Source organism: Homo sapiens, chromosome 2 (assembly GCF_000001405.40).
Source record: "Homo sapiens chromosome 2, GRCh38.p14 Primary Assembly".
NCBI lineage: Eukaryota > Metazoa > Chordata > Mammalia > Primates > Hominidae > Homo > Homo sapiens.
This window is the reverse complement of record NC_000002.12, coordinates 30518378-30545470: the sequence shown is the minus strand read 5'-3', so window position 1 is coordinate 30545470 and position 27093 is coordinate 30518378. Positions and strand designations below refer to the sequence as shown.

Here is a 27093-nt window from a genome sequence, read left to right as displayed (position 1 = left end):
CCATTTCCCAACCTGGCACTACAGATACAGTGTTTTCCTTTAGTCAGTTGCACAAGAATTAAATAGACCAGATAATTATATTCTAAACATCTGGTAAGCAAACATTTATTTGAAAAAAAAATGCGCATAGCAATCTTAAATACTCCCTAAAATTACATCAAATTGTCAACAAGGTAAAACTGGTATAGTCTCAAACAGTATATAGTTGACCACTACGATGCAGCCATTCTTTTTCCTATCATTTCCTCCTGCAAACTCCAACTTTAATTCCCTTTTTAACTCTCACTGGCAAACATGCTGTTTTGTTTGCTGCTTACACTTATGCCTGGCTTAAATTACTCTGTATTTGTTTGCTTTCGAGGTTCTAAAATCTTTTTTTCTCCAGTCCAAAATCTGTTCCCATTAGTAGTTTGCATTTTCATGAAATCCTATCAAGCTTACAAATAGTTAAGAGCCTACAATGGGTAAGATACTCTATAAGTAGCTTATAACTCAGGAAGGAAAAGAAAATAAACAAATGGAACAGTTAAGAATGAAATACTTAAATAGGGGCTCAAGATGAATTTTCCTCTTGTCTTGCAGAAGGACAGGTTTGGAATGATAAAAATGACTACAGCAGTAAAGAGTAGGAGAAATAAACACTCAGTAGTGAAGGAAAAAGATTATGGACCTTAAGTCTAATACGGATTTCTGTAAGGTAAGGGGTAGGAGGGTGTATCCACCTTCATAAACCAATATCCAAAGTGGGCCTCAGGATAAACAAAAATAATCCCTTAGGCACAGGACACACATCAGGTATTCAAAGCTGATAGAAGTAACACACAGAGGGGAAGTTGAGAAGGACTCTAGCCCTACTGGGTATTTAAGGATGGGACTGAAGGAAGGAAAGGATAATCCAAAGGACCAAGTGATCAGGAGCTCAGCTGCAACCTGGAAGCTACTAACAGCATAACTGGAAACAGAATATTTTTATATTTTGAGAAAAACTAGGATTTGGTAACTAATTGAAGAAAGAAAGACTCAGGGATGATTCCTGTATTGCATAAAGAGAAACTAAGTAATCTCTTAATTATATGCCAACTCTAAAATCCTATGCTTCAAGAATCTTTCTCTTAATAGTTAAAAAGGAAAAAAAGTCCTTAAGCAGTTTCCATTTTCTAGCATGATGGAGTTAAGACCCTATCGGTCAAATCATCCCTGTAGAAAACAATGACAAAATTTGGACATAAGATAAAGGTAATCATCAGAAGGTACTAGAGAGGGAGCAGAAGCAGACAGACTGGTGGGAGCTCATGTTCACTTGTGGGAAGGGAGATGGAAAGCTCTAAGAGTATGTTCCCTTCTCCAAAGCTTTCAGTCTCGGGCTAAAGGCAGTCCACAGAAAAATATGTGAATACAACACACAACTATAGCAGTGCTGAAAGAAAATGTGTAGTTCTAAACACCTGTGTTAAAAAAGGAACATGGTATTAGATCAATAGCTTAAGCTTCTATGTTAAGAAACTAAAAAATTTTAAAAAAAGCAAATTAAGCCCAAAGAACATAAAAGTTAGGAAATAATAAAGATAAGAATAGAAATCAGTAAAACTAAAAACACAGATTGATGAGGGGAGGGAAAGAAATCAATGAAACCAAAAGCTGATTATTTTAGGGGAGAGGGGCAAACTCAATAAAACTGACAAAACTCCAGCCAGATTGAACAAGAAAAGTGAGAAATAAAAGAAGGGATTAACCACAGACTCTTTAAGCATTAAAAAATTAACAAAATATTATTAACAACTTGATGCCTCAGTTTGACAACTTAGGTAACACAATTTCTTGAAAAATTACAAGAAACAGATGAACTAAAGAATTCAATATCAACTCAAAAAATTGAGTTTGTAATTAAAAAGACACCCACTAAAAAAAACTCCAAGCTTAGATGGCTTCACTGGTGAATTCCTTTAATCATTTAAAGAGGAAATAACATCAGTCCTATACAAACTCTTAACAGAAAACACGCAAGGAGAGAACACTGACCATCTCATTTTATGAGGTCACAAACAGATAAATATCTCACAAGAAAAAAGAACAAAATCCTTATTGAACACAGATACAAAAACCCTTTAAAGCTATTAGCATATTGAATCCAAAAATACATTAAAAAGGTTAAGTGGAGATAATCCTAGAAATGTAAGGTTAGTTTACCATCAGAGATTAACCAATGCAATTTAACATATTAATAGAACAAGGGAGAAAATTCATCTTATCATTCTAAGAGGTACAGAAAAAGCATTAAAACCAAATTTGACACCGTTTTATGATAAAAGTCACAGCAAATCAGGAATAGAAGGGAACTCCTCAACCTAATTAAGAGCATCTGTGAAAAATCTACAGTTAGCATTATACTCAACAGTGAAAGGCTCAAAGCTTTCTACCTAACATCAGGGACACGGCAAGGATGTCTGCCCTCAACACTTCTACTTAACATTATACTAAAAGAATAGCCACCGCAATAAGGCAAAAAAAAAAAAAAAAGCCATAAAAGTCGAATATTAAAATTAAAATAATATTTACATACAAGCAATGTGATTATGTATAAAGAAACCCTATGGAACCCACAAAGCATGTAGAATAGTTGAATTTTGAAAAGTTGCAGGATACAAAAATCAACTGCATTTCTATAAACTGGCAGCAAACAATTGGAAAGTAAAAACTTAAAACAACTCCAAAATAGCATCAATCAAAAATATTCAGAAACAAATCAAATGCAAGTTGTGAAAGACCTTTATATGAAAAACTACAAGTACTGCAAAGGGAAATTAGATTGAATGAAATCACAATAAAAATCCTGAGGAATTTTTGAAGAAATTACCAAACTTATTTTAAAATTTTAATGGAGAGGAAAAATACTCAAATAGTTGAAAAAAATTTAAAAGAACTGCTGATTTCAATTCTTGCTATAAAATTACAGTATCATGACAGAGTGACATTGATGAAATAACACTTACCGGACAAATAATTTTCAAAAAAGGTGTTAAGTTAGTTGAGTGGATAGTGGGTAGACTTTTTAATAAAAGCTGATGGAAAACTGGAAAGCTGTATAGGAAAAAAATAATCATTGACCCTGCCTCACAATAAAAACTGAATCAAAATGGGTCACACATAAAGTTAAGAAGTAAGACCATTAAACTTCTTGGGAGGGGAAAATATTTGTGACACAAGGTCAGACAAAGAAAGAACAATAAGAAGAAATGGTTTAAAAAGACCTCATGAAGATAAAGTTTGCTCTTTGAAAGACAGGTTTAAAAAAAGTAGAAAGGTAAACCACAGTCTGGGGTAAAAAACTGCAAAAATCCTATCTATAAAGAGCCTATATCCAGAATTTTTGAAGAACTCTTATAGAGCAACAGTTAGAGAAGAAACAACCCATAAATAAAGGAGAAAAGATATGACTAGAAACATCATAAAACAAGCTATATGAATGGCCAATGAGCAAAGGAGAAGAGGATCAAAATCCCTAGTCTTAAGAGAAATGAAAATTGAAACAACAGTAAGTTGCCACAACAAAGCCACAAAAATAGCTGAAGTTAGAAAGACTGATAACACCTAATGCTGACAAGGATATGGGACACCTGGAACTCTCTCTTACACTACTGGTAAAAATGTAAAAGGGGAAAAATTGTATGGAAGTTACAAAGTTACACACACATTTACCATATTATCCAGGGGTTTGGGTGCAAAAGGGCACAAGGATACAACTTGACTGTTGTGAGTTACATGACGGTATGCAATTTAAAACTGGTTAATTTTATTGAATGTAAGTAATACATTAAAAGTAATATAAAGGTATGGTAAATAAAACAGCATGGTACTTATGCATAATTAGATCAACAGAAGAGAACAGAAAGTCTGGGAACAGACCCTATAACAAATGGAAATTCAGAATAAAATAAAACCTGATAAAATGTGACATTTCAAACTAATCAAGAAAAGATTATTCAGAAAAGAGTACTGGGCTTAGTAGCTATTTGGGGGGATAAACAAGAAGTCTCTTTCTCCTAGATTTTTTGTTTAATAACTTTTTTTTTCTTTTTTAAGAGACAGGGTCACACTCTGCTACCCAGGCTGGAGTGCAGTGGTGCAATCATAGCTCAATGTAGCCTTAAACTCCTGGGCTCAACTCCTCAGCCAACCAAAAAGCTGGAATTACCATGCCCAGCTCTCCTAGCTTAGACCAGAGTAAGCAAGACAAGTGAAACCATAAAAGCATGATGGAAAAGCTAAGTTTGCTATAAAATCCAGATGATGTAAAAGATTAATCAGTTTGACTGTATGAAAACAGTAGTTCCACTAGAAAAAAAATAACCTAAACACAGAAAATGGACAAGAGACAGAGAAAATATTAGCAACTCACCCCAGACAAAATGTTAATATTTCTACTAAGAATTTGTATAACCCAAAAGGATAAAGACTAACATTCCAATAGAAAAATGTCCAGCCTCATTACCTTTAAAAAAAATAAATGTGGCCGGGTGTGGTGGCTCACACCTGTAATCTCAGCACTTTGGGAGGCTAAGGCAGGCGAATCATGAGGTCAGGAGTTCAAGACCAGCTTGGCAAACATGGTTAAACCCTGTCTCTACTTAAAATACAAAAAGTAGCCGGGCGTGGTGGCAGGCGCCTGTAATCCCAGCTACTTGGGAGGCTGAGGCAGGAGAATCGCTTGAACCCGGGAGGCGGACATTGCAGTGAGCCAAGATTGTGCCATTGCACTCTAGCCTGGGGGACAAGAGGGAGACTTTGTCTCAAAAAAAAAAAAAAGAAAGGAAAAGAAAGAAAAATAAATATAAACCTACATTGAAATATCTTCTTTATCTAAGTTTGCCAAAGACCCAGGTATTTCATAGCACCATGTTTTTGAGAGTGTAATGAAACAGCATATATACTGTTGTTTGACATATAAATTGATTTAATTCCTATGGATGGAAATGGACAATATCTCTCATACTCTGATCTAGGTTTCAACTCTTACTGATAAATTCAGTTTTATGTGAAATACTGCACAAAGAAAATCACTGCAACATTATTAGTAAGTGCTGAAGATTGGAAAAATTTAAACAGTGGATGGGTTAAAAATACCATGTATCCTTAAATACTATGATATCATTTAAAAATAATGCAGCAATAGATACACTGACATGGAATAATCTCCAACATATATTGCTAAATACTTTCTAAAAATATGAAGAACAGTGTATATATTTTGTTACACCCATTTCTATTTAACAAAATTGAGTGCAAGAAAACAATCTGCTTGTCCATGCATGGAATAGCTCTGAAAACAACTGTTAACGACTGTTTTGGGGAAACCGAGTGACAACAGAGCCAGGATGAGACAAAAATGTATTTTCTGTATACAACTCTTTGTAGCTTTTGATTTTGTACAATGTACCTGTTAGTTATAATACATAAAAATTTAAGTAATTAGACATTTTATTTAAAATTAAATATTTTTATGCCTTGACTCTAGAACTAAACAGACCAGGTTTCATAATTTATTGCCACCCCATAGTATCTATGTGGAACAAGGCAAATTATTTAACATTCTTAAACTCCATTTTCTTTAAAAGGATTATGTTATGATATGCAGTTGTGACCTTTAAATAAGATAATGTATATAAAGTCCCTTACACAGTATTCTGTACACAGCACATAATAACAAATTATTAGAGATTCTTTTACCTTTTCCTTCTCCTGAAATTATACCCGAGTTGAAAATTTTTTTGACATCTAATTTAAGATGGACCATGATTAAGAAGTACAAACCATTTATCCAAGAGAAGATTCCTTAAAATGATTAGTGGACAATTTACTTTAGCATGATCCATACATGGTAATCTAAGGTTTTTGTTTATATAGTTTTATAACACATGTTCTTAAATAAGTTGAAGATAGACCAGCCAAGCCTGTTAAAACAGTATATATAACATTAAAAGAGAACATTTAGTGGTGTCTAGATCCTGACTAAACATGCTTGGCTCTAAAGTTTCATTTTTAAAAAAATTAGCCAGGCATCATTGTGCCAGCTTGGATTAATAGTTTTAGCTACTCAGGAGGAGGGTGAGGTGGAAGGACCACTTGAGCCCAGTTCAAGATTGCAGTGAGCTATGATCATGCCACTGTACTCTAGCATGTGTGAGAGTGAGACCCTGTTTAAAAAAAAAAAAAAAAAAAAAAAAAGGCCTGGCGCGGTGGCTCAAGCCTGTAATCCCAGCACTTTGGGAGGCTGAGGCGGGCGGATCACGAGGTCAAGAGATCCTGGCCAAAATGGTGAAACCCCATCTCTACTAAAGATACAAAAATTAGCTGGGCGTGGTGGCGTGCGCCTGTAGTCCCAGCTACTCCAGAGGCTGAGGCAGGAAAATCGCTTGAACCAGGTAGGTGGAGGTTGGAGTGAGCCAATATCACACCACTGCACTCCAGCCTGGGTGACAGAGCCAGACTACATCTCAAAAAAAAAAAAAAAGAGGTTGGGGGAAGTTGGTAGAATTCAGTAGTGAAGCCATCTGGTGCTGAGCTTTTCTTTGCTGGGAGATTTTTTAAATTATTGATTTAATCTCATTACTTGTTATTGGTCTGTTTGGGTTTTCTGTTTTTCCCTATTTCAATCTTGAAAGTTTATATGTTCAGGAATTTATCAATTTCTGCTATGTTTTCCAATTGGCTGGCATATAGTAATTCGTAATATTCTCTAATGATCTTTTGTATTTCTGTGGTATCAGTTGTAATATCTCATATTACATTTCTAATTTTTTTATTACAGTTCTAATTTTTTTATTTTTTATTTTTTTTTGAGATGGAGTCTGGCTCTGTCACCCCACGCTACAGTGCAGTGGTGCAATCTCAGCTCACTGCAACCTCCACCTCCTGGGTTCAAGCGATCCTCCTGCCTCAGCCTCCCAAGGAGCTGGGATTACAGGTGCCCACCATCACCTAATTTTTGTATTTTAGTAGATATGGGGTTTCATCATGTTGGCCAGGCTGGTCTCCAACTCCTGACTCAGGTGATCCACCCGCCTTGGCCTCCCAAAGTGGTAAAGCCATGAGCACTGCACCTGGCCTAATTTTCTTTTTCATCGTCTCTCTTTGTTACTTAGTCTAACTAATGGTTTATCAGTTTTATTTATCTTTCCAAAAAAATCAACATTCCATTTCATTGACCCTTTGTATTTTTTAGTTTCTATTTTGCTTAGTTCTGCTCTAATCTTTCTTATATCTTTCCTTTTGCTAATTTTCAGTTTGGTTTGTTCTTGCTTTCCTAGTTCATAGAGGTGTATTAGGTTATTTATTTGAAATCTTTTTACTTTTTTGATGTAGGCATTTACTGCTATAAGCTGCGCTCTTACTACTGCTTTTGCTGTATCCTATAGGTTTCGGTGTGTTATGTTTCTATTTTCATTTGCTTCAAATTTTTTTTTTATTTCCTTCTTAATTTCTTCATTGATCCACCGGTCATTCAGAAGCATGTTTAATTTCCAAGTATTGGTACAGTTTCCAAATTTCCTCTTGTTATTAATTTCTAACTTTATTTCATTGTGGTTTGACAGGATACTTAACATAATTTCGATTTTTTAAAATTTGCTGAGACTTGTTTTGTGGCCTAACACACGATCTGTCCTGGAGAATGTTCCACGAATTGATGAAAATAATGTATATTCTGTGGCTGTTAAATATTATTTAAATATCTGTTAGGTCCACTTGGTCTATAATGCAGTTTAAATCCAGTATATGTCTTGGTTGATTTTCTGTCTGGATCATCTATCTGTTGCTGAGAGTGAGGTGCTGAAGTCCTCAACTATTACTATATTGGGGTCTAACGCTCCCTTTAGATCTAACAGTATTTGCTTTATATATCTGGGTGCTCCGGTGTTTGGTGTGCGTGCGTGTGTGTGTGTGTGTGTGTGTGTATTTACAATTGTTATATCCTCTCGCTGAATTGATCCCTTTATCACTATATATTAATAATTGCCTTCTTTGTCACTTTTTATGTTGTAGGTTTTTTTTCTTTTTTTTAACTTGAAGTCTATCTTTTTTTTTTTTTGAGACGGAGTCTCGCTCTGTCGCCCAGGCCGGACTGCGGACTGCAGTGGCGCAATCTCGGCTCACTGCAAGCTCCGCTTCCCAGGTTCACGCCATTCTCCTGCCTCAGCCTCCCGAGTAGCTGGGACTATAGGCGCCCGCCACCGCGCCCGGCTAATTTTTTGTATTTTTAGTAGAGACGGGGTTTCACCTTGTTAGCCAGGATGGTCTCGATCTCCTGACCTCATGATCCACCCGCCTTGGCCTCCCAAAGTGCTGGGATTACAGGCGTGAGCCACCGCGCCCGGCCAACTTGAAGTCTATCTTATCTGATACACTATACCTACTCCTGCTCATGTTTGGTTTCCATGTGCATAGAATTTCTTTCTCAATTCCTTCATTTCAGTCTATGTGTTTCTTCACGGGTGAAGTCAGTTTCTTGCAGGCAGCATATAGTTGGGTCCTGCTTTGTATTTTTAAAAAATTCATTTAGCCAGTCTATATTTTTTAAATGGGGAATTTAAATGCTTTACATTCAAGGTTATTAATAGGTGAGGACTTATCCCCACTACTTTTAAATTGATTTCCAGTTATTTTGTATATCTTTTGTATCTTTCTTCTTGTCTTATTGTTTATCTATGCAATTTGGTGACTTTTCTGTAGTGTTAACGTTTGAGTCCCTTCTCTTTTTCATCTATATATCTGTTCTATTAGTATGTTTTATCTGCATGTTTTCATAATGCTTAGATATCACTTTTTTACTGCAGATGCAGAAGTAATTAATCATTTCTCTTAGGGCCAGTCTAGTGATGATGAATTCCCTCATTTTCACTTGTCTGGAAAGACTATGTCTCCTTTATTTCTAAAGAATAGCATTGCCAGTTACAGTATCCTCGGCTGACAGTTTTTTCTTTCAGCATGTTGAATATATCATCCCATTCTCTCCTGGCCTGTAAAGTTTCTGCTAAGAAATCTGCCATTAGTCTGATGGGGATTCCCTTTTATGTGATTCGACACCTTTCTCTAGCTGTTCATAGAATTCTCTCTTGACTTTTGAGAGTTTGACCATAAAGTGCCTTGGAGAAGGCCTTTTCAGCTTCAACCTATTTGAAGATCATTGGGCTTCCTGTATCTGGATGTCCATATTACTCCCAAGACTTGGAAAGTTTTCAGCTATTATTTCATTAAGTAGGTTTCAATGCCTTTTTTCACCTCGTCTTCTCCAACTCCCATAATGCAAAAATTGATCGCTTAATGATGTTCCACATGTTCTGTAAGCTTTCTTCATTCTTTCTTTTGATCTAGCTGGGTTATTTGAAAACATGTGTTTTCAGGTTCAGAAATTCTTTCTTCTGCTTGATCTAGTTTATTGTTGAAGCTCTTGATTTTATTTTTATTTCATTTACTGAATTTTTCAGTTTTGAGATTTGATTCTTTTTTATGATATCTACCATTTTCCTGAATTTCTCATTGAGATCATGAATTGTTTCCTGATGGTGTTGAATACTTTATCTGTGTTCTCTTGTATTTTGCTGAGTTCCCTTAAGATCTTTATTTTGAGTTCCTTTTCAGGCATTTGATAGGCTTCCTTTACTTTGGGGTATATTAACTGGAGAATTCTTGTGTTCCTTTGGAGGTATCAGGTTTCCCTGCCTTTTCACGTTTCCTGTGTTCCTACACTGGTATCTGTGCATATGATGGAACAGCCACTTTTTCCAATTTTATGATATAGCTTTCATAGGGAAAAACTTTTTCCTGTAGATATGTCATACAGTCTCAGTTGGGTAGGGTGCCTTGACTTTGGTTCCATGTAAGAACAGTAATATAGACTCCATATGATTTCTTCAGCTTTTATCAACATCATTGGTGTCTACTGAGTGCCTCACTGGCCTAGGCTGCAGCTGTTTGTGGATGCTGTGGTGTGGCTTTACTGGAAGCAAGAACACTGGGAAGGCAAGTCTTTTTTGACCCTGGGGGGTGAACACACGTATGCACACAATGCTCTACCATTAGAAGGGACAGAATTGCCAGCAAGCCCCAGGTGCATGTCATTCTACTCTTAATCTTCTTCTCCCCACTCTTAGTACTCTTCATAAAGACAGGAGGGCAGAAGGGAATGTTTTGGAATTTATTTCTCTTCATAAATCAATTGAACACTTATGGCATTATTTGTTTTCTCATACTAAAAGAGATGGGTGATACATGGTTTTCTTTCCTCTCCTGCTTGATTTCATAACTTTTTTTAAATTAGGGTGAAGAAAAATACACAGCTGCCATTGTCCTACAAAAACCTCTGTAAGAGGACTTTTAATTATGGATTCAATCTCTATTAGACACATAACTGTGGCTTTTTCATTTTCTGTTAATGTCAGATTTTGTCAGTTGTATTTTTCTGTATTTTTTAAATCTCATATACACTTTTAAAGTCATTGGTATAATGTTATTCTTAATATCCTGTTAGTATATCTCATGTAGAATCAATCTTGCTACTGGTAATATGTGCCTTCTCTTTTATTTATCAGTCCTCTTAGGGATGTGGCAGTTTTTTAAATACTGAGATCTTAGACACATCTTCAATCTGTGGGGCTATGCTCCCTCCTCTAGAATCTTTGAGGATGGTAACTGCTTCCACCAATAACATATGATAGGAGTGATACTGTTTGAATTCTAAGGCTAGGTCATAAAATACCTTGCAGCTTCTTGCTGGTTCTCAAGTGAAAGTGTTCTCTAAGGAAAGCCAGCTGCCATGTAAGAAATCTGAGATCACTATATTGGAAAAGTGGCAAAGAGAAAGATAAAGATATAAGTACAAAGGCAATTAAAACACAAACAGTTGGCCGGGCGCAGTGGCTCACGCCTGTTCCAGCACTTTGGGAGGCCAACGCAGGCGGCTTACGAGGTCAGGAGATCAAGACCATCCTGGCTAACACGGTGAAACCCCGTCTCTACTAAAAATACCAAAAAATTAGCCAGGCGTGGTGGCTGGCGCCTGTGGTCCCAGCTACTTGGGAGGCTAAGCCAGGAGAACAGCGTGAACCTGCGAGGTGGAGCTTGCAGTGAGCCGGAGCTTGCAGTGAGCCCAGATTGCACCACTGCACTCCAGCCTGAGCGACAGAGAGAGACTCCGTCTCCCAAACACACACACACACACACACACACACACACACACACACACACACACACACACACAGTAAATCAACTACAAACACCCTTGCTAGTCTATCCTTACTAGTCTATCCTGTGAGGGCCTGCCCTTTGCCCTCACAAATCATAAACCACGTCAGTATACTAATAGAGGAATGGTTTAAGAGGGTACATAGTTTAAGTGAGAAATGTTACCTAGGTAAACCACAGAAGTATAAATGTAATTAACAAGGCTGTCAGGAGGATATAGTGGGTACTTCATATACCCATGTGAATAACTGGTTTGAATATATTTATAATCTTTCCCCTCCCTTTTTCACATTAAGTAGCAAGTTGAGAAAGGAGGCCATTTATTTTTAACATGCAATGTTGAAATATCCCTACTTCTCCAACACACAATGAACATGTTGTATTCCTAGCCATTTAAAATAAACATTTCCAGGAACTTTAATATTATATTATACAAGCGCGATAAAAACATTTTTTAAAAAAAGTTATAGATTGGGGAAGTTCAGAAAGTACCAGCACCTAGCATAATGAATGCTTCGAACCTACATATTCAATTAATACTTACTACATGAATATGAATGAATCAGTCAATGTCAAGTACTTTATCAGCACAGACCAGTTTCTGGCCGAAATCACAAGTACTACCTGCAATAAAAAGTTACTAAACTATTAATTCATATCCTTCAATGCTGTGGTCCTCAGATACTATATATCCATTTCCTTGAGAACAGTTTATTTTCTCTTTCAGAGTAATATTTTTTAAAAACAGATTAAAATAAAGTCATCTGCCATAGCAGATCCACTAAAGACAAAAGAACCAGAGATTGTTTTTGGCCCAGTGAGGAAAAAAATGGAATCGCTTTAATGCTTAAGTCAGTTTTACAGTGGGTGCATTACATCTAAAATGAATGAACCACTTAAAATAATGTGTGAATAACCTACCAAATCCAGGAACACCTTTGAGACTCGCTTTGAGGCAAATTTTCTCCAATCTGAGGTAGCTATATCGCATCAGGCAATTCCACAGGAACATCCAGTCCATTCTTGTCCGATGGTTCATGATAATGACACTTCTTTCTCCAGGAACAAATGCATCCCCAGTTATAATCACTTTTACACCAAACATGGTCTCCAATAATGCCTAAGAAAACAATACAGATATACAGCAAATTAAAGTTATGATTTTCCATAGGTAAATTTTATCATGCCCTATAAATAAATCTTATGATTTCTAACATGTAAAAGTTAGTATTTCCCATGATCCTTGCTTCTATAATAAAAAATTGAGTGGTGAGGTTATCTAGAAGAATGAGAATATCAAGCACTATTTCTATTTTAAGCTTCTGTGATGTCCTAATTAAAAAATGCTGATTGTCCTTGAAATCAAGATATCTTATTAAGCAAAAAGTATAAAAGGTGAATATCAATATTCTACTGTGTAATATTTTAAGGATATAGATATGTAACATTATTACCTTTTTTTCTAGAAAGAACAGTCAAAGAATTAGCACTGGGTACAGGGGAAAAAAAAAAATCCCGGAAAGGTAAACTGTTCACTTTATAGCATCCTGTACTATGATGTTTTAAAAACAAAAACATAGATCTTATTTATTTTGACACTATGTAAAGAATAAATTAACTATACATCTACTAAAATACTACAAGCCTTAGTACCTAGAAAATAGTAATGTTCAAATAATTGCTGAATTTCCTTAATTTGCTTTTCTGATGGGCCAGGTATATAATACATATGAAGTATTTAGAAAAACAATATATTATAGACTTATGAGTTCTTGAAAGTAAAATAACAGATTACAATAAAAGCTGATTATTGATTTCAAACTCTTCTTTGAATTCTCAATTTACATGTAACAAATTTACTAGTTAATATTTGACTTATTAATAAAGAGAGAAATTGATCTAAAGGCAAATATACGATACAGAATCAAAAGTTCTCTTGGCGAATATCATGATAATCTTGAACAAGGTATAGCCAATAGACAAACTGTGGTATACTCATATAATGGAAAAATGATACAACAATGAAAGTAGATGAACTACAAGTACCTACAGCAACATGAAAGATACACAGAAGCATAATTTTGAAAGACAGCAAAACAAACAAAAATATATACAATAAATGTCAATATATAAGACTTTCTAAAAGATTAAGATATTTTAAAGATGATTATATAGATGCTAAAATTATAAAGAACAAGAAGAAAATAACTATCTTAAAAGTCAGATTAATGAATACTTCTACCAAAAGGAGGATGTTTTCATTGGAAGTCTAGGTAGCTTGCTGGAGAACTGACAATGCTGTATTTCTTGACCTGGTTGACAGTTACACGCAAAATTTTTCATTAAATTGTACATTTGTGTTTTAATAACTTTTCGGTATGTTTGCTATACTTCACAACAAAAAGGCATTTTTTTAAAAATGCAATATGAAACAGTAAGACTTTGAAAAACATAACAGGATCAATAAAACATAGGTTCAAAATAATATTAGCTAAAGAAATATACTAGAAAGTAAAAAGAAGTTAGAAAAGTTATATGTCCAAATTGTTACAGAGTCAAAGTGTTAACATCCTGATACAAAATCATTTGGGCTAAGTAGCTACAGATATCCCATAGGTCCATTAAGTTACTTTCCCACAGCTGAGGTTCACTTTCAGCATGGGTATTTAATCCAGTTATCTATTATGTCCTAGAACGATGGCCTCCAAGAGGTCAATAAAAATGTATTTCTCTTAAGCTGTATATAAAGATATGTCAATGTGTACACATACTTTGCTAGGTAAAATGCTTGCAGTTTTCATCAAATTTTCAAAAGGGTCCATAACCGCTCAACTAATTATAACCCCTACTCCAAAAAGTCCCTTGAAAGTGAAATACCTACATGGAAGACCTCCTGGTAAAAAGGATCATGGCAGAGTCCTACAGGTGTGGATCCACAGCAAAAAATGTCCCTTTTTCTTTTTTTTCTTTTGAGACGGAGTCTCACTCTGTCGCCCAGGCTGGAGTGTAGTGGCGCGATCTCGGCTCACTGCAACCTCTGCCTCCCGGGTTCAAGTGATTCTCCTGCCTCAGCCTCCCGAGTAGCTGGAATTACAGGTGCCCGCCACCACACCCAGCTAATATTTTGTATTTTCAGTAGAGACAGGATTTCACCACGTTGGCCAGGCTGGTCTTGAACTCCTGAACTTGCGACTCGCCCGCCTTGGCCTCCAAAAGTGCTGGGATTACAGGCATGAGCCACCGTGCCCGGCCAAGAGTTAAAAATCTTAAGCCTATAAATTCCAAACCTCAAATCTAAACCTATATATGCAATCTCTAATATATGATACCTATAGATCCCAAACAATCCTTTGCTTTTCATTATGAAAAATAACATAAAAAATCCAAGACTGGGATGGGTGTGGTGGCTCACATATGTAATCCCAGCACTTTGGGAGGCTAAGGCAGGAAGATCGCTTGAAGCCAGGAGTTTGAAACTAGCCTAGGCAACATAGCAAGACTCCAGCTCTACAAAAAATTTTTAAAGGCCAGGCATTGTGGAACATGCCCAGAGCCTTAGCTACGCAGGAGGCTGAGGCAGAAGGATTACTCGAGTCCAGGAATTTCAGGTTACAGTGAGATCTGACTGCACCACTACACTCCAGCTGGGCAAGAGAATGTAGTCTCCAAAAAAGCAACAACAACAACAATCAAGACCATGTGTCCAGGAACATCTCATATAACATGACATCCTCTCCCTTGACATCCAGCATTCTACCAGAATATGCCTGAAAGTTATAAATAACCTTTGGGCAGCCAAGATCTCAAGTCCACATTAATTGGTTGTAATACCAGATGAGACATATCCAGTCAACCTTATTTACAGCTCCTGCAAAGGCAGAAAAACAAATATACTACACAGAAATAAAGCTGTAATATCTATACAGAACTCCAGAATTCAATTAATCCAGACTAAAAGACTGGGAAAAAAGACACTATTCTCACATTTCTCATGTTTATTTTATTGCTAGTATAGGAGATAATAGTGTCAACAGTAATAAATCTAACAAAATTTTATAATGCATTGTTTCTTATATTGAAGAGTAACAATTCTGATAATTTTTACCTAATTGGTCAAAGATTTCTCTGTGTATTATTTAACAGAAATATGGAAGCATTTTCCAAGGATCTTTTATATACCACTACTTACTATGTCCAAGTGTTCCATTGTGTATAAAAACACAAAGATGAGAGTGGTTCCTCTCAAGATCACAGAGAAAGTTTTACCATCATGCCCGCTGCTCTCACTCTCATTTATCATTCTGATGGATCTTTACTTAGTCTGAGGTAATAACAACTCATCTCCATGTCTGCTTTTGCTTTTCAGGCTCAGATTAGGTCTGGTTCTCCAAATCCCTAGCTACTTGAGGCTTTGCAATCCCAACTCATTCTTCAAAACACTGAGCACCCACTTTGTTAAGAGCAACAGTGTAGACAAAAATCACATTCAGCAATCTATGTTTATTCAACACCTGTTTTGTGCTAGGACTGGAATGGTATCAGAAGGCTGTGGAAGAAACTTGTGCCCTGGGTAGACAGTTAGAAAATGACCTCTAAATTCCTAAGGCATGATTTATGGTGAAAGGACAGAACTCCAGTAATTTTCATAATCCCAGGTAGTAATCAGACTGTCGGTTAGTTAGAATTTTGAGAAGCAAAAACTGCTCTGAGCACATGCTGAGTTTGACCCTTACAATATTCATTATGTTGAACAGAATGGTCCAAAAATAAAAGGAACAAAGGCATGCACTCCGAATTATAGAAACATTCAAAGAAAGACTGAATGGTCACCCTGCAGATAGTTCTAGAACGGATTCTTGCCCACAGAGTTAGGTTAGACAAAGTGACCTCTAAGTCTCATCTAAGATTCTAAAACATTTCACTGCTATGCCTCTTTTAGCACAGAAATGTGCTCCTTAAAAATAGTAAGACAAGAAAAATCTTGCCAACAAAATCATTTTAATCCACAAGAGAAACTTAATGAAAGAGAAGATCATTTTGTGACTATTTTTGTGAAGCAATAATTAGTTTAAGTGCATTTATCCTAATTTATTTTTAGTGGAAAATTATTTTTAACTGTTTGGGATTGCTTAAAATAAAGTACATCAATAAGGGATAGAAGAAAAGCTTTTAGATTAAATTCACTCTGAATTTAAAAAGAATATATTTTATTATTGCTTAAAAACTCCTTTAGCTCCTTGTACGAGTATGAGATAAAAGGTGATAAAAGACACCCTTGATGGTTCTTCTCTGTTTCCTTCAACAGAGATGTTCACTATCTCAAAACTAGAATATCAATTTTTCTGTAACCTAGCTATAAGGAATTCAACATCTATACATTTCTTAACTAAAAAAACTTTCTCTGTCTGATATGCTGTAACTAGTAAACTAAACAGCTGAGTGACAGCAGTTTTCCAAATGTATACTAATTTTTTACTAGTACTGTGGTAGTTAAATCTTACCCATGTGTTAAACTGTCCAAACAGCTAATAAGACAAAAGTTAGGAATAGGTGAAATTATCTTTGAAAATCTCATAGGATGGTGCATCTCAAAAGATCACACTATCAGTAAGTCCAGCTCAGCCAATCTTCTCCCAAAATTGTACTATATTGATATTACCCTACCTGACCATCAGACAAAGTGATTGGTTTGTATATTGTTTAAAAATATCTATCTTTAAACACAAGAATCACACTCAGCAGAGAACCACTCATATTTCCTATTTCATCTCACATGAAGCAGAAAAAAATTCATTCTCTTCTCTGCCCACTCTTCCCTTACCTTAGTGCATGTAATTGAAACTGTACAAATACTGTAGGTGTATAATGTAATTCTGCAGTAATAGTAATGCTACTAGCAGTAATAATAGCAGAAATAGCTATTGCAGAATTTGTTTGGTAACTTGTCCTATAAATACCAGCATTTCTTCCAGATTAAGAATTTTAACTGTGCACATGGCTGCCCAGAAAAAAAAGACATTTCCCAGATTCTATTACAGCTTTTAGCTGCTCTTACCAATAGAGTAAGCAAAAGTGATATGTGCAACTTGCTATGTACTACACACGTGAGTCACTGGTATAGAAAGAAAGCATTTGCTCTGGACTTCCTCCAGAGTGGGGCAAAGAAGTGGCAGTGACCCAGTCTTGACCAAATACAAGAGGACATTATACCAGGCTGGAGGCCAAGCTAGGTGGATTAACAGGATAGAAGACATCTGAACCCTTTGATGACATCAGGGACCGTAGGGACCTTGCCAGCCTGGACCTGTAAGTCAATATAGTTCTACTGTATTGGAGCCACTATATTTTGAATTTTCTCCAAAACACCAGTTTAGCCTAAAATTAATATAAAAGCAAAACTAAAACTAAAACTAAAATTAATATAATACCAAATATTTACCGGGTACTTACCAAATGGCAAGCATTATACTAAAAAGGCTATATATTTATTACCTCATTTAGTCATTACAATGACTCTCTGATGTAAGTAGGTAGTATTAAGACTCCTTTTTATAGAGATGAAGAAACAAAAGCTTACAATGAGGCTAAGGAGCTTAGCCAAGTTCAAATGACTAGAAAGTGGGAAGGCCAATAGTGAAACCAAATATCTGTCTGCAATGTCTGTGAAAATAAGCACTCTGCTTATGCTCGCTCTCCAAAAATTAGAGTGACTGGACACTGTAAAGCATTACAACTGTAGTAATTTTTACCAATTCTCAGAACTCTCAAGGTTTTGGCAGAAAGATTCAACAAAAATGTGTGGTTCATAATTAAAGGATTATATACTATAGAAAACTGATGACATTTAGAAAATGGAGTACAGTAACAATACATGACTGTTACAAAAAATCTTTTACCTCTGAATGTTTGCTTTACAATCAGATATACAATTCTGAATCCAGAATAGATCTCAAAGATCATTTACTCCAATTTCTTTATTTTACAGATGATGAAACAAACACTAAAAATAGTTACATAAATGACATGAAAACAGTCAAATGTTTCAATAGGAAATGTCTCTGATTTTATGATGACAGCAAAATTACTTAACATACAGTTTGTAGATGACGTTTTAGAAGTATCTACTTGTGATGATTAATATTACATAAACTGAACAGTATTCTTATTTTACTTAATATATGTATATAGAGAAATACCCACCTTGTAAATAGAGAGTGATAGTGGTTAAGCAGCAACAAAAAATGAGTATTTTATGGCAAATGGTATGTTTAGGGTTGCAATGAAACACTGGGCTTCATATCTTTAAAGCTAATTTAAAAATGTAACTCTAAAAATTAATAGTCTTAGAAGTCAACTTCTGTCCTCTAAAAAAAGAAAAAGACTTTTAGTCACATGAAAGCCAGAAAAGAAATTAGTCAAGCTCTGTAAATCTACAATTAGGATAAGATATTTTAGGTAGAGGACTATTATCTCCTCAAGGACAGAGATCATATCTGTCCTGTTCATCACTGCATCCTAGCAAAATGCTAGGTACGTGGTAGACAATAAAAAATTGCTGGATGAACATTAAGAGATCCTGCCAACTACTCTTGCAATCCAATCACAAAACAAAGCATACTTATATTAAAAAAGCAAGAAGAAATTTTGCCTAAAAGACTGGCCCTGACAGAGTAAAAGGTACTAGACATCATCCAGCTGACTTAAAGGAAAATATGGCTATAATTAATAAATAGATGAGAAATCTCAAGAAAGTAACAGAACCAATAAAGAACCCAAAATAAATTCCAGAACTTACAGTATTTTAAATAAAAATTCACTAGATGAACAAAACAGCAGATTAAAGATGATAGAAGAAAGGGTCATTGAGCTTGAAAACAGATAAACAGAAATCATTCAATATGAAAAATACAGGGAAAAAATACAGGGGAAGAAAAAAGGAAGAGAGCCTTTGTGACATACGTGACAAGACAATCAATCTAACATACATATAATTGTAGTCCCAAAATGAGGAGAGAGAGAATAAGGCAGAAAAAAATGTGAAAAAAATAACAGTCTAAAATTTCCCAGTTAAAAAAATATAAAAACCAACCAACCTATCTATCTAAGAAGCCCAATGGAACACAGCAAAATACATGCAGCCCTCCACATCCCTGCGTTCAGCATTTGTGAATTCAACCAATCATGGATCAAATATATTCATGGGAAAAAAGGATGGCTAAGCCTGTACTGAGGATGCACAGATTTTTTTTCCCTGTCATTCCCTAAGCAATACAATTCCCTAACAATAACAACTATTTACATAGCATTTACGTTGTAGTCGGTATTATAAGCAATCTAGAGATTATTTAAAGCATACAGAAGGATGTGCCTAGGATATGTGCAAATACTGTAGGGACTTGAACATCCATGGATTTAGGTATCTATCAGGGGTGGGGAGCACTCTAGTACAAGCAGACAGTCTCCTCTGGTGTGTAACTTACCACAGGTAGGGTGAGCCATGTTGCCACAAGGCGGTTGTTGATCCAGCGATACCAAGATGGGTTTACAAACATCAAAGGTAAAAAGGGACTCAGCATGAAAATGCTTCCAAAAAAGCTTCCCCAAAACAGAGTCAGTATAAAGTAAATCCCTTTCCATGACACCATGATTCTGAAAGATATAAAAAAGGATATATTTTGTTACTATACATTTAACGGCTCGAATTCAATTTCAGGATGATGGAGCATAGAATGATCACTAATTTTAGGGCTACAGAAAGGCTCTAAGAAACAATATAAGAGTCTGAATTTCAAAGAGGTGACCCTCCTACATGCTCTACTGGTCTAACAAGTTGCCAGTACATTAGAAATTGATATTCTCTGGTCGGGTGCGGCGACTCACGCTGCAATCCCAGCACTTTAGGAGGCTGAAGCAGGTGGATCACTTGAGGCCAGGAGTTCGAGACCAGCCTGGCCAACATGGTGAAACCCCATCTCTACTAAAAATACAAAACTTAGCCAGCTGCGGTAGTGTGCCTGTAATCCCAGCTACGTGGGAGGCTGAGGTAGATGTTACAGTGAGCCAAGATCGCACCACTGCACTCCAGCTGGGACGACAGAATGAGACAGTTTCAAAAAAAAAGAAACTGATACTCTCAACAGAGCAAATATCTGACCTCCAAAAAGAGTTATCTAGTTTAAGAAGCCTTTTTTTTTTAACATAAAACCATATATTTTCTTTTCTAAGGTGTTATCTAACACAAACTCATAAAATATTCCAGAGTTTTTTCCTACCCAGAAGTAGAAGCAATTGACTAAAAACTACAGATGAGTTTCCTAAGTTGAGTACAACGGTCCCCACTTTGGATCCATTCCAAGACCCCCAGTAGATGCCTGAATCACAGATAGTACTAAACCCTACATATACATTACATACATACCATGATAAAGTTTAACTTACAAATTAGGCGTGGTGAGAGATTAATAACTATTATTAATAAAGTATTAAGTAAAATAAAGGTTCCTTGAACACAAGCACTGCTATACCTCGACAGTCAATCTGATCACCGAAACTGCTATTAAGGGACTAAGAGGCAGGTAGCATAGCATATATTGTATCAATGCACTGGACAAAGGGATAATTCACGTCCTGGATGCGACGAGAGAGGCATGGCATCAGATTTCATCCTGCTACTCAGAATGGCACACAAATTTAAAACCCATCAGTTGTTTATTTCTGGAATTTTCCATATAACATTCAAACCACAGTTGACTGTGGGTAACTCAAACCATGGAAAGCAAAACTGTGGTTAAGGAGGGGACTACTATACACCTAAAAACAATGACAAGTTAGCAGAGTACATTGAAATTTTTTAAAATCCAGAAATATTAATTCTTTATATTAGAATCTGAAAATAACATCTTGGGTACTTGGTCTTTAATTGACTCTTTATGAGTTGAAGGATTAAGTAGAACTTAGACTCTTCACTGGCTATTTCCAAAGGATTACTGTAGGGGGTCCTCATAGCCAGAACATCATACAGATGTTTTAAAATAAATGCTTGTTGGAAACACACAGTCTAAAATGAATAAACATTTGATTTTACAACCTAAACTATGTTAGAGAAAAACTGTGTTTTGCCTCAGAATAAAATTTTTAGAAACATTAAAACGATGAAAAAAAAACAGCCTTATAATCTATATAGCAAAAAGGTATCTGAGAGATCAAGACCTCTGAATATTTTAAAAGAATCACAACAGGAAACAGAATACATTTTCAAACGTCATGGTGCTTTTGAAAAATGTCAGACAGACAAACAACAAAACAGGTCAAATCCCTTAAAACACACAATCAAGACTGACTACTAAGTTTTTGTTTGTTTGTTTGTTTTGAGATTGCGTCTCACTCTGTCGCTAGGCTGAAGTACAGTGGTGCGATCTGGGCTCACTGCAAGCTCTGCCTCCCGGGTTCAAGCGATTCTCCTGCCTCAGCCTCCGGAGTAGCCAGGATTACAGACACGCGCCACCACACTCATCTGATTTTTGTATTTTTAGTAAAGACACGGTTTCACCATGTTGGCCAGGGTGGTCTGGTTCTCTTGACCTCATGATCTGCTCGCCTCAGCCTCCCAAAATGCTGGGATTACAGGCGTAAGCCACTGTGCCCAGCCGACTATTTTTAAATTTCTACTGATACTTGACAGTACGTGTACAAAATCCTTCAAAGTACAAACTGAATAAATATCAACTAAGAGCTGGCTTTTTGCTAAACTCTAGACCTAAACTTTAAAGAAGTGGGGTAACGGAGTAATAATGGTAGAGAAAAAGGCCACTGGAAAGCAGCATGCTGAACAATTCCCAGAGCTCACACATGGGGCCTAGAGTGGTCTGTGTTACCACCTATCCTCAACTTTGTTTTCTCTGAGGCTCAGGTCCTCCTCTTTGCGTTGATGACACTATAGCTAGCTTCTCCCCAGAAAAAAAAAAAAAACCTACGAACATCTTAATTTGGTATTGTTAATGCCTACTTCCTTTTATACACCCACCCCGCCCCCCAGTCCTGCAACGCTGCTGCTCTGTTTGAAACCCTGTAACTACCGTTTTCTATCTACTGTTTTTTTTTCTGCCAATTAGTGATTAGCTAGCTCTGTTTAACACTCACCCCTCAACTCCCTGCAGAGCTACACTTCACGTTGTATCCATATATAATGCTTCCCTTATCAAGGCTCTGGCATGCTTCTTCCTCACCAATTTCTGATTTGATGTGATTAACAGAAAAAAAATAAATTAGCTATCATATAATAAAATATTTTCATTATGCAGTGATGAAGCTGAGGCTCAGGAGAGTTAAGAAGACTTTCCTAAATCCACACAACAAATTAGTAGCATCAAATCTTTTCTGCTTACTGCTTCTTCTGCTATATCATGCTCTCTTTCTCCTGCGAAGGGGCCAGAAATTAGCCCTGAAATATGTCTCTAAACTCAGACTTAAGCAGGTAGAAAGGTGTGTGTCACATGAATATACTGGGATTACTCAGACCAAATCTAATCTAAAATTACTTCTATCCTACTTCTATTCCTTCCCTTTCAATCATTTGTTGATTTTCAATGATTCAATAAACATACAAAGATATCCCAATTACCGTGTGCCAGGCACTATGTTAGTCATCTGGGGATTACAACAGTGAATATGACAGAAATTGCAAAGCTCTCACAAATCTGATGGTCTCTCCATCTCTTCCTTATGAGCTCCTATGTGACTCTGCATTTAATCCAGCCCTATTCTTTATCTTCTTCCAAGTCTCAAGAGTTTGATGGACAAACTTGGTTCCAAATTATGCTAGCTATACACTTATTTGGAATAGCTAAAAAAAAAAATTTTAAAACAATAAAACCACTGACAATACCAGGAGCTGACAAGGATATGCAGCAACCAGAACTTGCAAACATTGCTGGTGGGAATGCAAAATGGGATGGCCACTTTGGAAAAGTTTGGTAGTTTCTTAAAATCCTAAATATACACTTACAATAAAACCCAGAAATTCTACTGAATATCCAAGACAAATGAAAATGTATATTCACACAAAAACCTATACGTAATTATTCACAGCAGCATTATTCATAATTACCAAAAACTGGAAACCAGCCAAATGTCAGTCAGGGAGAATGGATAAACAAAACCGTAGTACATCCACACAATGGCATACTACTCAGAATAACGACAAACTACTGATCCATGCAACATGTTGAGTTAATCTCAAATGTATTATGCTGAATGAAAGAGGCCAGACTCAAAAGATATGATTTTAAAATCTTTTACTGGATTATTTCATTTATATGACATTCCAGACAAGGCAAACCCAAAGGATAAGGAAACAGATCAGCGGTTGGCAAAGATTACAAGTAGGGAGATGGTTTGACTACAAAGAAACAACACAATATAAGTTTAGGGGGTTGGTCCAGCGGTGGCTCATGCCTGTAATCCCAGCATTTTGGGAGGCCAAGGGGAGCAGATCACGAGGTCAGGAGATCGAGACCATCCTGGCCAACATGAGGAAACCCCATCTCTACTAAAAATACAAAAATTAGCTGGGCATGGTGGCGCGTGCCTGTAATCCCAGTTACTAGGGAGGGTGAGGTAGAAGAATCGCTTGAACCTGGAGTCAGAGGTTGCAGTGAGCCAAGATGGTGCCACTGCACTCCAGCCTGGTGACAGAGTGAGACTCCCTCTCAAAAAAAAAAAAAAAAAAAAAAAAAAAAAAAAAAGAAGAAGTAGTTTAGGGGGTTGAGGAAACTGTTCTATTTCCTAGTTAGGTCACATTACAGCAAAGCTGTCCTGATCCAGACCCCAAAAGAGAGTTCTTGGATCTCGCCCAAGAAAGAATTCAGGGTGAGTCCACGGTGCAACCTGAAACCAAGTTTATTAAGAAAGTAAAGGAATAAAAGAATGGCTACTCCACAGACAGAGCAGCCCTGAGGGCTGCTGGTTGCCCATTTTTATGGTTATTTCTTGATGATATGCTAAACAAGGGATGGATTATTCATGCATTCCCTTTTTAGACCTTATAGGGTAACTTCTTGACATTGCCCTGGCATTTGTAAACTGTCATGGTGCTGGTGGAAGTGTAGCAGTGAGGACCACCAAAGGTCACTCTTGTCGCCATCTTGGTTTTGGTGGGTTTTGGCCAGCTCCTTAACTGCAACCTGTTTTATCAGCAAGGTCTTTATGACCCGAATTTTGTGGTGACCTCCTATCTCATCCTGTGACTCAGAATGCCTTAACTGTCTGAAAATGTAGCCCAGTAGGTTTCAGCCTCATTTTACCCAGCTCCTATTTAAGATGGATTTGTTCCAGTTCACACATCTCTGACAGTCACAAGACTATACACATTTGTGAAAATCCATAGAAAGTATATTTTTTAAAAAAGTGAACTTTACTGTTTGTAGATTTTTAAATAAATTTTTAAAAAATTATGCTATGTATATAAAAATCTGACAATATTTACTATTCTCTTATAATACGGGGAATTCTAATTTTCTGGATTATTTCAACTATAGTAACACCTAAAATGTATATAGCTTTTAAAATATTTCAGGCACTGTTTCATATATTTTACATGCCGACCTGTTCACCAGTCACAGCAATCTCATAATGTAGGTATTTTCATTACCTTAATTTTACATATAACGATACTGAGGCAGCAAGGGGTTAAGGAACTTACTTAAGGCTACACAGCTAGTAAATAACAAAACTGGAACTTTAAGCCAGGTAACTTGGTGTCAGAGTCCACACTCAGTCTGAAATGTTACACTACGCTTCCTTTTCAAGCCATGTATTACATCTGTAGTTAAATATACACCTATTTTTAAATAGCCTATAAAATAAAGATGTTACAATTATAAACTAAATTTTTAATACCTCATACAAAACTTATTCTGAATTTTAGAATTTATACAAACTTAGTGAGATAGCCTTATGTCTTTCTTATCTTACTGTTACTGGCAGGTGTTTGTTCTTAGAACTCCCAAGATGGTGGTGGGCCGCTCCCAAGATGGCAGCAAGCCTTTTGCTCTCTGACCTGGGGGGTTCTTGGCCTCACGGATTCCAAGGAATGGAACCTTGGGCCATGCGGTGAGTGTTACAACTCCATTAGAAGCTGTGGGTCCCGGAAGAGAACTGTGGAACCCAGAGACAAGTGTTCAGCTCGAGTAGGACAAACCCGCGCACTTAGCCGCACAGAAACAATGGCGAGCCTCTACCTGATCGGGAGCGGCAATGGGCACCTCCCCGGATCAGAAGCGCAGCGGACACGGTGCCAGATCCAGAGGGGTGAAAGTCAATGGCCAGTCTGAGAAGGTGGCATTCAGCAGTGGTGGATGGTGAGCAAAAGCTCAGCTCGAACAGTAACAAACGTGGACCAGAAGAGTGTGTGGTTCCAAGATTTAACAGAGTGAAACCAAAGCTCCCATACAACGGGAGGGGACCCAAAGGTGCTTGCCACTGCTGGTTCGAATGCCTGGGTTTATATCCTGATCACTGTCCCTCCCCGGGTGCTCTCAGGTGATAGATGATTGACTATTTCTTTACCTCCTGCTTTTAGCCTAATGGGCATTTTAGTGAGCTCTCTTTACTACCTGACTGGTCAGGTGTGAGCTGAGTTACAAGCCCCATGTTTAAAGGTGGGTGAGGTCACCTTCCCCAGCTAGGCTTAGGAATTCTTAGTCGGCCTAGGAAATCCAGCTAGTCCTGTCTCTCAGTCCCCCCTCTCAACAGGAAAACCCAAGTGCTGTTGGGGAGGTTGGCTGACGACCACTCTAACTGCTTCCTGCTGAACTGGGGCATAGTAGGGGTTGTGCAGTTGAGATTTCCTCGGTAGGGGAGCCTTTGATGTCATCAACATCAGAGCATGGGCTAGCAGGCCGGTCCAGGGGTCCACGGTAGATCTTAGTCATGGACTGCATCTGGGGCTCCATTTAAAGAACGATTTGTAGTTTTACAGCATCAATTCTGGAAGAGACAAACTTAACAAGGAGGTTAAAGATACAGGGATTGAAATGTATGGCCTGAAGTGCAGGGTGAGGCACATCCAACAGTTAGTAGGGTTTTGGGATGAGCATAAGCCAGTATAAGCTGGATGTGTTCCTCAGTGAGGGCCCAGGTGCCTTTGGATAATTTTAGCCCTAAGTATTTAACCTGCTGTGAGTAGAGGTAAGCCTTTGGTTTGGAAACCTTGTAGCCACAGGTGGCGAGGAACTTTAAGAGTGTTTGGGTGGCTTAATGGCACAAGGTTTCTGAACAGGTGGCTAAAACTAAATCATCCACATACCAAAGGACAAGAGTGTCCAAGTATGAGAACTGACTCAAGTCTTGGGCTAATGCCTGGCCAAATAGATGGGGGCTAGCCCTGAACCCTTGGGGTAAAACAGTCCAGGTGAGTTGAGATGTTGGTTCGAAGGATCATCAAAGGCAAACAAGAATTGAGAGTCAGGATGTACAGGGATACAGAAAAAGGCATCCTTAAGGTCCAGGACTGTAAACCATTCTGCTTCCTCTGGTATTTGGGAAAGTAGAGTATAAGGGTTAGGTACAGCTGGGTATAGAGGGACAACGGCCTCATTGATAATCCTGAGATCTTGCACTAACCTCCACTGTCCGTTGGGCTTCTGCACTCCTAAAATTGGAGTACTGCAGGGGCTATTGCATGGCCTTGGGCTTTTAGGTCCTTTGCTATTACTAAGACTTTGTTTAGTCTAAATTAACTTAGAATTGGTATAGATGGTTCCTTCCTGGTTCTGTAAGTACTTTAAGGCTTGGCTGAGTGCAAACAGCTCGCACGTTTGAGCAGACCAATTATTAGACAATTTTTCTAACTCTGCTTCT

General features: G+C 37.1%; 1 protein-coding gene across 11 annotated transcripts in view; it reads right to left on the bottom strand.

Moving 5' to 3' along the window:
* The window catches only part of LCLAT1 (lysocardiolipin acyltransferase 1), a 196980-nt gene that overhangs the window by 98755 nt on the left and 71132 nt on the right, over window positions 1-27093 (bottom strand). For 10 of the 11 annotated variants that reach the window (NM_182551.5, XM_005264245.4, NM_001304445.2 and 7 more), the window contains 2 exons: window positions 19716-19884; window positions 12157-12355 (listed from right to left, as the gene is read on the bottom strand). In NM_182551.5, the coding sequence (NP_872357.2) occupies window positions 12157-12355; window positions 19716-19884 (368 nt within the window). The remainder of the gene's footprint in view (window positions 1-12156; window positions 12356-19715; window positions 19885-27093) is intronic. The other variant, NM_001304446.2, reaches the window with a different exon arrangement.